General features: G+C 41.7%; 1 pseudogene across 2 annotated transcripts, besides 1 other annotated feature; it reads left to right on the forward strand.

The window, feature by feature from the left end:
- The first annotated feature begins 2,778 nt into the window (after positions 1–2,778).
- Positions 2,779–11,141, forward strand: TMEM30CP (transmembrane protein 30C, pseudogene; annotated as a pseudogene). 2 transcript variants are annotated; one of them, NR_028357.1, is made up of 3 exons: positions 2,779–2,833; positions 6,896–7,006; positions 10,933–11,141. The product of NR_028357.1 is annotated as a transmembrane protein 30C, pseudogene, transcript variant 1 (transcript). The 2 variants fall into 2 exon arrangements; NR_028358.1 differs by lacking the exon at positions 10,933–11,141 and having other exon boundaries at positions 6,896–7,150.
- Positions 3,320–3,614: an enhancer, noted in NCBI's record as "tiled region #11159; HepG2 Activating DNase matched - State 9:DNaseU". NCBI's record gives its function as "activates a minimal TATA promoter and a strong SV40 promoter by Sharpr-MPRA in HepG2 cells {active_cell/tissue: HepG2}" and the evidence as "EXISTENCE:reporter gene assay evidence [ECO:0000049][PMID:27701403]".
- Positions 11,142–11,346: the final 205 nt, after the last annotated feature.

The following is an 11,346-nucleotide window of genomic DNA, read 5'->3' on the forward strand; positions in this document are numbered from 1 at the left end:
ATAATGTATATTTAATATATATTTTTATATTTAGCATATATATTTTCATCCCAGCAGTTAATAGGAAAGACAACGAAATATAAGGCAACCCCAAATATACAAATGTCTGCTAATGCCTGAGAAGGTTATCTACAGTGGTTAAGGAAAAATGAAGACAAGTTAGAAATCACTTTAAAATTTTTCTTTTTTTCCTTTTTTTTTTTTTAAAGATGGGATATTGCTCTGTCTCCCAGGCTGAAGTGCAGTGGTGCCATCATAGCTCACTGCAGCCTCAAACTCCTGGGCTCAAGTGATCCTCCCACCTCAGTCTCCCAAAGTGCTGGGATTACAGGCATGAGCCACTGCACCTAGACTTTGAAATTTCTAGTGATGCCACAATACAACAGCTGTTAACAAATTGTTGTATTGGTATCAATCTAGAACAGTGATTCTCAAACATGGGTAATAGAGGCCGGGGATGCAACTAAACATTTTACAATCTTACAGGACAGCCCTCACAACAAAGAAATATCTAGCCCAAGATGTCAGTAGTGCTGAGAAAAAGAACCCTGTTCTGGAAATATTGAAAGGCAATGCATATGAGGTATATTTGCACATTGAAAGTAGATTTATTTAGAAGAGAGGAATAGATGAATATAAAAGTACCTGGAGAATGTATATCTAGCTGTCTCTCAAGAATATTGTCCCAGAAATATTTGTACTTACTACCTGTGATGGCTAATTTTAATGTGGCAACTTGGCTAGGCCGTAGGATACCCAGATAGTTGGTTAAACATTATTCTGGGTGTTCTGTGATGGTATATTTGCATGAGATTAACATTTAAATGGGTAGACCTGAGCAAAGAGGATTGCCCTTCATAATGTGAGAGGGCCTTGTCCTGTCAGTTGAAGGCCTCAATAGAACAAAAGACTGACTCTCCCCAACCCCCCAAGAGAATTCTGCCTGACTGCCTCCTAACTGAAACATTGGCTCTTCCTGATTCTGTGGCAGCCTGTTGGCCTTCAGACTTGAATTGGGACATCAGCTTTGCAGATTTTGGGCTTTTCAGCCCCATAATCATGTGAGCCAATTCCTTATAATATATATATATATGGTCATATAATCTCCTGTTGGTTCTGTTTCTCTGGTGAACCCTGAGTAATACACTATCTGTGAAGCTCCTTTTAGTCTGGGATTTGAGTTAGTTGGTTTTGTTGTTTTATAAACAGTCTAAGAAATACTATTCTCATTGGTTTTTTGCTGTAATTACCCTCTTGCTAGGCATTATCTATGTAATATAATGCCATCCAATCCAATGTTGGAATAAGTATTTGAATCACAAACATACCCCAATGTTGTGTAGGTCAACCCTGTTCTTATAATCTAATCTCATAGCCTTTTACTGCCTTTTAAACCCAAGCTCTTGACCATGTTTTATTTAGTAAAACAAATGGTAAATGTTAACTAGAAGTGTTCACTGCCATCTCCTCACACAAGGCTGTTTGATACCAACAACCGTACTAGTTGCCACCTCCAAATTAGATTCAAATGTCATGCTGAAAATTTCCCGTTGGTATTTTGCTTTTTATACAGTTTGTAAATGGAAAGCTTTAACTCCGAATTGGAAACTTCCTAGTGTAAGCATTTGCATCAATTTTGTATTCTTTCAAACTAGGTACATTTGCCAAAGTCATTACTTTCTTTGATACAAAAATAGTCCAGGATGGCTTCTCTGACTAATGTAAATTAAAAGGGAAGATTAGAAATTCACATGCTCCCTAATTTTAAAAATTCTAATTCTAAATCCTAAATGCCAGTTTTAAAAGAAGTAATTATTAATTATTAATGGCCTAAGGAAACTAATGTTAGTGGATTTCTAACAAGGGAAAAAACCCAAAACCAGACCTAATACTGTACTTCAATATTGAACATCTCATTGATTATCTTCCTCTTCCTTTCTCTTGTCTCATTTGGGGTACCCCAAAGCATGCACTTAAGACAGCTTAGGAGGAGATGTTTTTAATCCACATTTTCTACTAGAGCCTTTTTTGTGGATGAAAAAGAAATTGGAAGCTGCTGAGATGAGACATCTGTGTTCTACAATTTCCTGTTTGCTGCTCTCTTCCTCATTATCACAAATAGCAAAGTTAGCTATGATCTGAGAGTATTTTTCCAATTTAGTTTATATTCATGTTAAGCAACAGCCACATTTGGAGAAAAGCTGACAGCCCTTTTATTTTTTTTTATTAATCTCCAAGGATTTAGGCAAGTTCCTAAAGATAAATCCATTTCCCCCTCTCAGGAAGGGCTTGCCTTGAATTACTCACCAAATCCCAGAAATAGCCCATCGTGATTGCTTCCTAGTGTCACCAGATGTTGGTTTCTGCAGACCTTGCTGGGGACTATCCATCCTAGGCATGACATTTAACACAAGAACCTTTTTGATCCTAAGTCAGTTATACTCAGTAATGGCTGGTTGGAGACAGCTGAGCTCCTGCTAAATACCAGCTCTGGTTAAGGAATAATCCGGGAAGCAGAAAGACTTTGCAACTTCAAAGGAAGGGTTCACATAATTCATTTCACATTACCATTATGTGGTATTACTATGAGTAAAAATGTTCTAAATGTCCCAAAAGTATCCGAGTCACCTGCAGGACCGAAATGGAGGAGAGAGCACAGCACTGCCTGTCCAGATTACTAGACAACTCTGCCCTGAAGCAGCAGGAGTTACCCATCCACCGGCTATATTTCACGGCCAGGAGAGTCCTCTTTGTCTTTTTCGCAACAGGAATATTCTGCCTTTGTATGGGCATCATCCTTATATTGTCTGCAAGGAGCACTCAGGAAATAGAGGTTTGTCCCATCTTACAATTTGAATGCAGTTTCTGAGAATGTTCAGCTTTGGCACCATACGTGAGAATGGTTAGTTTGAGAACACAGGCCCTCAAGAGGGTATGGATAAGACGGGAACATCCCTGTTTCTGCTGGCAAGCACAGATGGTGACAGAGCCTGTGTAGAGTGGCTTTGTTCATCTCTGCTCCCTCTTGAGGGCAGTTACTCTCATGCCAGTGAGCTCAGACATATTTGTGTACAAGGGATTGACAAAGTTAGAAGCTTTTTTTTTTTTTTTTTTTTTTTTTTCCGAGATGGAGTCTTGCTCTGTCACCCAGGCTGCAGTGCAGTGGTGCGACCTTGGCTCACTGCAACCACCGCCTCCTGGGTTCAAGCAATTCTACTGCCTCAGCCTCCCTAGTAGCTGGGATTACAGACGACTGCCACTATACCCGGCTAATTTTTTTGTATTTTTAATAGAGATGAGGTTTCATCATGTTTGCCAGGCTGGTCTTGAACTCCTGGCCTCATGATCTGCCCGCCTTGGCCTCCCAAAGTGCTGGGATTACAGGCGTGAGCCACCATGCCTGGCTGAAGCTTTCTTTTTTTTTTTTTTTTATGCTGGCAGGGAAGAGAGCAAGTGACCAATAGGGGAAGAAGGAGAGTCAAGGCCACATGACTGCCAGAGACCCATGAGTCATATTGATAAAAAGAGTAAAGTGTCCAAGATACAGATCTTCAATATTGCCCCACATTCAAGCATTGTGTCTTTCCCTTTGCAAATGAACTCCCTCTGAGATCCAGGAAAGACAAGAGCCCAAGTCTTTCTGGCATCTTAAGGATATTTAGCAAAGCTAAGTTCTACTCAGAGTGAGAAAAGCTGGTGCTAAGGGCAGACCTCTCAGGCACAAGCCTTTTGCCAACTTAATAAGCTGTTGGAGGATGAGAATCCCTGAAGCTGGTCTAGAGAGGGAAGACAAGAGCTAGTCTAAGGCTTGATTGGCCATGCCCATATTCAGTCTAATTATTAAGTATATGTTTCATCCATATCAACTCCAGGCAGATTTCTGGACATCCCAGACCGCATGAGCTCCACTCTGCAAGAAGTAACCATGGAAAGCTGATCTATTCCCTCTCCCGACATGGCTGCTGGCAAAATTAAGATTAAGGCCAAGTCTACCAACATTGGTTTAAAATTTATGAGTGTCGCCTGGGTGCGGTGGCTCATGCCTGTAATTCCAGCACTTTGGGAGGCTAAGGCAGGCGGATCACCTGAGATCAGGAGTTCAAGACCAGCTGTGGTGAAACCCTGTCTCTACTAAAAATACAAAAATTAGCCGGGCATGGTGGCACATGCCTGTAATTCCAGCTACTCAGGAGGCTGAGGCAGGAGAATCACTTGAACCTGGGAGGCAGAGGTTGCAGTGAACAAAGATTGTGCCACTGCACTCCAGCCTGGGTGACACAGCGAGACTCCATCTCAAAATAAAATAAAATTTATGAGTGTCTGAAGGTGCCTACAGGTTCTGTTGACTATGCAGATGAGTAAGATGAGGAAGAGTGGATTTGTGCCCTCAATGAGCTGAGAACAGAATAGGTAAAATACTACGTGGTAAGAACAGAGAGCTTAGCCAGCTGCCTCACCACCCTCTTCCTTGCACATTGCCCAGTATGTGATAGGCACACACTTATTGAAAGAATGGACTAGGTCAGATAGTGCGGAACCCAAAGAGGAAAATGTCTTTTCAGGCTCTACTCTTCCTCCCAAAGCACACTGCTCTGTTGCCTCTCTACTTAACATTTTTTCCTCCCCACTTCCAGCTCCCACCGCTTATCTCCCTAGGAATTAAATGACAGCAAGACCTCCAGTGTTATATGTAAACTCCCACCAGGCTCCACCATGTGGCACAGGCAAAATGGCAGGAGGAGATGAATCTTGCCTTGCTGAAGGGGATAGCAAAGGAATGGGCTCACAACGTTGATGTCCATTTCCACGGAGTTCATGCAATTTACTTTTCTACTTTCTTCCTCACCAATCCCTTTCGTTCTGGTTCTTCCTTCCATGTCATTCTTACTCCCTCCCTTGCAAACCTGCCCCCCACCCCCCCACTGTGGAGTGCAGCCTTCACTAAGAGGTGCCCATGCATGAGAAGGTGACCTCATTCCATTACCAACTATTGGCCATGGCCCCTCCACAAACAGAATGCTTTTATCTCATGAAATCTATGGGCATTTTCCAACTAACATTGTTTCTTTAGTTGCTTCAGACAGGATTGCTTCTGACACTTCATTTTTATACTCGAAAACCAGTGTTTCATTAACCAGTGTATCACTGGGTGATAATATAGAGTGCACACTCCAGGCCAATGTGATCAGGCACAAACATCATAGAAAAGACTTCTGAGTTAGCCTTTCCTCTTCTCACTCAGCCCTGGGACACAAGGATGTGCTCTCTCTGCAGTTCACTTTAAACAAGAATAATTTCTGCCTCTCCAAAATTCTATGACGAGCAGACTGTGATCTTTGCTCCATCTCATAGCTATTCATGTACAAGTCCACTCAAGTAGCAAACTGAGGATACCATCATTGCATAGACAATAGATAAGGGATATTTTTTAGGCAAGAAAGCACCATAGATATCAACTACTCAAAAATTATTTGATCATGAAATATTTTCTTGAATACTACATTGATAGAACTCACAAGAGGAATTCATGAAGTAGCATGTATACTACAATGACCTCACAGATCAATTAATTGCTGCATGAAATGATGCTGATGGGCGAAATGTGGACTCTAGAGGTTAAGCACTTAACTCAAGGTCAGAGATTGGCTGAACTAGAACCCCAGTTTCCTCAGTCACCATTCAGTATGCTGTCTCTCCATTGGGATACAGCCCTGTTCTTTAATGCTTTTTATAAATTGAAATGTAGTCTACAAACAGAAATGGCATAAATATTTTCAAAATAATAGTTCAAGCCTTGCTGTGTATTTAAAGAATGATTTAGCTACATATAAGCATCTAAGTACAATGAAGTGTAGCATTTTCACTAGTCTTCAATTTAGTGTTCACACTTCACCTTTGGGCTTCAAAACCCTTAGTAGCTTTACAAGGATGCAAATTCCTTCTGTCTTCCTTGCTAGTCTTCTCTCCAAAAGAATCCTAACTTCTACTAGCACCTTACCCAGGGGAAAGCCACTCCATTGCTTCCCTGCTTCTCCGCACTCCCATAATCGTCTAATCACTCCTCAACACAGTGAGGGCAAGCCAGAAGCAGCCCACTGCAGCATCCAGGACAGCCCCAGGGCCCCTGAGATGAACATTCTTGCAGATAAGGCAGCAGTGCAGCCCTGTGCCCACCCGCCTGAGCCTCTCCTCCTTACTCTTCTAGCTGCATCTTCACAGAATGCAGTGCCTCAGCCAGAGCTCACAGGAGCCACCAATTTGGGACATACTACCTTTTTTTTTCCTTTTTTTAAGGAGTCCATTAAACCATTTTTCACAGAATTTTACTTTTAAAAAACAGAATGCAGCAGCATTTTAGAACCAGAATAATTCAACATACGTCAATAATCTTACATTTTGGAAACACTTCTTTTTCTGTTTGTTCATTTTTAATAACTTCCTCTGGATGCCATGTAGAATAATTCACTAGTATAAATATCTTCCATACAATAGAATGGAAAAACAGTGAAGTGACTTCCCCATAAAGTTGATTAGACTCAGGCTGTAAGCCTAGTTCTCATGAGTCATTGACTAATACCTTCCTAGCAACTGACACCTCTTTATGATCGAGGGTAAAGCTTCATCACAACAGGTTATATAAATAGGCAACAGAAACACCAAACTCTGGGCCAGTGGCAAAATGCTGCCAAGTCCCCAGATGAAAGACTGTGGGAAGGCCCACGCCTCCTGAACATCCCCAGAAATACTGGCCCTGCACAGTGGGCTGCCCCATTCGTGTCCTAGACTCCATGCCCCTGACCCAGACAGGCGGAGACTTGGGTGGACTCCAGATTTGAATTTTAAGGTATGTACCCATGTAACCTTTTAATTAATCATTTTTTTCCTTGCCTGACAGATTAATTACACAAGAATATGTGCAAATTGTGCAAAACTGCGAGAAAATGCCTCTAATTTTGACAAGGAATGCACCTGCTCTATTCCCTTTTACCTTTCAGGAAAAATGATGGTAGGTGAAATTCAAGAAACTCGGTTGACTTTACACTGATCTATTCCTATGTAACACTTAGCAGTAAGTTCACAATTTCCATGAAATGCTTTCCAAAACTGAAAATATGAAACATAAAGCAGGATGGTGGTGGTGAATCCGAAAGATTGTTGAGTTCATATCCCCTCCCTCCTTTTTGAGTATTATTCTCCTCCTTTGTTTCTAAGTTGCAAGATTCTTTACCTATCCAACTTTGTAACATAAATCTTATCTACCAAACAGGTTTTACTCTAAATATCAGCACAGGGACTTTGTGTGAATTTACATTGAATTTAACCACTCATTTTATGGTGAGAAAATTAATGGGCTAAGAGGTGAAGTAAGTTGGCTAAGGTCACATAGTAGGTTGGTGTCAGGGGTCACACACTTGGGGAAACCTTCCTTGGGTCTCCCCAAGTCATTCCACATGTGCAATTATGTAATTCCCAAGGAGAGAGTCTGGCTGTCCAGCACTGTGAGAAATGCCAAAGAAATATTGAGAGAAGTCCCCACTCATGGGCTGATTTAAGTCTCATGTTAGTCAAGTCCTCTGAGAAGCAGATGCCCAGACAGGGTGAGACATCGGAGAGATTTACTGGGTGAAGCCTCTGAGGGGAAATGGGGAAGGAGCAGGAGGAGGTTGGGAGAGCTCTGACCCTTAGAAAGCAGAGGGGAGGAGAGAAGGAAGGAAGGAGGGAAGGAGAGAAGTGAGGAATATTTTTCAGGAGATGATGAGTCTGGTTTAGAACCAGCTGAATTTGAGGTGGGAGCAGGGCCTTGAGATAGAATGCTCAGTGGGCGGCTCAAGAGAAGGCCTCCCTGTACCTAGATTTAGCCCATGTAGAGTCATTTATGAAGGGGAAGGATGGGGGACCGGTTCAGTGTGGAGAATGCTGCAGGGGGGAAAAGTGTAGAGTCCAGAAACAGAACAGGACCTTAAAGTACACTTGAGGAGTTGAAGGAAATCAAATTTTTTGTTTGATTAAGTCTTGACTAACAAGTAAGACTGTGGAGGCCATGAAAAGGCTCCTCTCAGATCTACTGCAGGGAGTGTAATTGAGGGATATCCCCGGCTGCTGTGCTCTGAAATCACCATGTGTTTGCACCAATATCATGATTTCACAGCCACCTCAGCCAGTGGCTGAGCACAGTAGGGACATCGAGGTAGGTCCTTTCCTGGGAGTGGGGACTCTTCTGATGGATGTCCTTGGGGACTTCCTGTCAGCCTTGCTGAAACTTTAAGAATGCATTGTAGTCTTGGCTCTTCCTCCCTCACTCTCTTCACCCTCTCTTGCTGCCCTCCTTCCTTCCTTTCTTCTTTCCTCTCTCCTTTCGTCTTGAGGGCTCAGAATGCTAAAGTTTTTGGGAAAAAAACAAAAACAAAAACAAAAAGTGCTTCAATTCCCATCGATCAGTGTCCTTCAAAACTAAAACAGCAAATGAAGTGTTACCAGCTGCTAACCATTCCCTTCAGGCAGAGCCTTCTCATAAAAACCCAACTAAACTACTTAGAGCAATCACAGGGCCTTCAGCTCAGCAGCTACCATGCATGACACATGGGGAACCACAGCAATGAATCCACGCAAGGCTCTGTCTTAAAATAAGCGAAGAAATCCTGCACAAAGTGCCACTGAATTTAAAGAGAAGAAATACCATAAAGTGAATTGTGCCTCCAGGGATCATCAAGATGATCTTGGAGGCCTTGTTCAGCTAAATCTTGCACAAAGAATCACTGAAAGAGACTATTGAAACACCCCAGTCCCTAGTGTGCTGAGCGTTCTTTGTCTGTTTATTTTGTCATATATGTGAACATATAACTCTGATTAAGTAGAATTCTCTTTTTAGCTTCCAAGAAAATGTATGGTAAATTCCATTCTGTGGATTTCATATTTTCTGTAGTCATGGGTCAACAATAGAGGTTCCTGCTTTGGATGAGAAAACGTAATGGGTCCTTCACACTAAGCCTGGCTTGCTTGCCTTCATGCCAACACTCCCTGTTGACTATGATGCTGCCTGCTTCTTCGTCATGCAGCCTTTCTTGCATTCTTCGTCTTCAGCCTTTCTTGCATTCTAAGGCTGGCCACATTTACCATGACTTTCCTTCCCTGTTTACCATGGATACCACCTCCCATTTTCCATGCTCATCTTAAAGAAGATGCTCTTTAAGGTCCTTAGGAAATAAGGTCAAAGCCTTTCCAAAATGCTGTTTTTACACAGGGTAAAAGAATCAATGGACTCAGGGACTTGTAAAGGAATGCTTTTGTACTTCTAGCACTGAATATAGCACCTAACACATGGGAAGCACTTAATTAAAGTTAGGCTTTTATATTTTTGGATGCAGGTCTTCATTATTTTGGAGGTATGGAGTGTATTAATTTTAAACAGCTACATTGGACATTTCTATATGTGCTGTTAGTAGAATCTATGAATATGTTAGTTACATCCATATGGATATTTCCATATGTGCTATTAATAAAATCTGTATCAAGTCGGCCTGGAGAATTTCCAGGGCCTTAATATATTACCATAGAGGTGGAACCACGGTGCTAGGTTGTGTCCGGGCAGCCTTACTTACATGGCAGCATACATGAAAGACATATCTCTCATGACAGCAAGGCTCCTCATGGCTAGGGTGAAAATCACCTTCTTTCTTTTGGATCAGTGAATTATTCCATCTTTTTCTCTATAACAAATAGTTCACCATTTCTTAAGCAAGTATTATGTGCCAGGTACTGCATTAGATCCCAGAGATTAAAAAACCAAAAATTCTAGGCCGGGCGCGGTGGCTCACGCCTATAATCCCAGCACTTTGGGAGGCTGAGGCAGGTGGATCACGAGGTCAGGAGATCGAGACCATCCTGGCTAACATGGTGAAACCCCATCTCTACTAAAAATACAAAAAATTAGCCAGGTGTGGTGGCGGGCGCCTGTAGTCCCAGCTACTCGGGAGGCTGAGGCAGGAGAATGGCGTGAACCTGGGAGGCGGAGCTTGCAGTGAGCCGAGATCGCGCCACTGCACTCCAGCCTGGGCAACAGAGCGAGACTCCATCTCAAAAAAAAAAAAAAGAAAGAAAAATAAATAAATTACCAAAAAAAAAATCCCTAGACTGGGACTGCAAGGAGCTTCCAGTCTCATGCTTTTCACGTGCTCAACGTACACATGCACCTAAATATGCTCAATGGCTTGAATTTTACATTCTTTTTCACGGATTTGCTGTAAAAATCACGTTATTTTTGGTGTCAACACAACCTCTAGGCAAAGCATTTTTCCTCATATTTCTGGGAAATGAGAACATTTATAAAACCAAATTTTATGTATTGAAAATATGCTTGATTATAAAAATTTTTCATGGCAAGAATGCAGCAGCTCTTTAAAAACATGCAAAAATAGTTATTTAGTTATTCCAACAATTCTGTACAGAACAGGATTTCCCAGTGCAAATTTTTTTTTTTTTTTTTTTTTTGAGACAGGGTCTCACTCTGTCACCCAGGCTAGAGTGCAATGACACGATCATAGCTCACTCTAACTTTGAACTTCTGGGCTCAAAGGATCCTCTCCTCAGCCTCTGGAGTAACTGGAACTACAGGTGCATGCCACACCAGCCTAATTTTTCTTTTTTTGTAGAGACAGGGTTTTGCTACATTGCCCAGGCTGGTCTCAAACTCCTGGCCTCAAGTGATGCTCCTGCCTTGGCCTCCCAAAGCACTGGGATTATAGGCATGAGCCGCTGTGCCCAGCCCCAAAATTGATTTTTTTAAAATGACTTATTGGGTTTCTATTTCCCATAAATAGGCTTTGAGTTCCTGTCAATTTTTTCTGTGCTTTTATTTAAAAATTTCCTGTCCATGTTTATTAATATTCCAGTTAATTTTTCTTACTCTCCTCTTCTTGCTTTTCTCCCACACAGGGTAATGTTTATATGTACTACAAATTGTATGGCTTCTATCAGAACCTGTATCTATATATTCGATCCAGAAGTAATAGACAACTGGTGGGCAAAGATGTAAAAGTAAGGCTTGATTTAATCTGGTATAATACTCTTTTTCTTTTTTTTAAACCAAGTGTATTTTTCAGTCTAAAAGAGGAGATGGAAAATAAACTAAAATGCTACAAAACAGAAATGCTGATTTCCTTCTTGTGTAAATTGAAGGGGCTGGGTAGTCAGGATAACTGTTATTAAAAAGTAGCACTTTCCCTCTTTAGAGCAGTGATGTGAATCTTGTCCAACTGAATGGTTATCCTTTCACGCACCATTTTGATAGCAACCTTGAGTAGTTAGGCTCAGCCTGGCTGAGCCTAACTACCATTGTCCTCCCTGTCA

This window comes from Homo sapiens, chromosome 3 (genome assembly GCF_000001405.40).
Source record: "Homo sapiens chromosome 3, GRCh38.p14 Primary Assembly".
Taxonomy (NCBI): domain Eukaryota; kingdom Metazoa; phylum Chordata; class Mammalia; order Primates; family Hominidae; genus Homo; species Homo sapiens.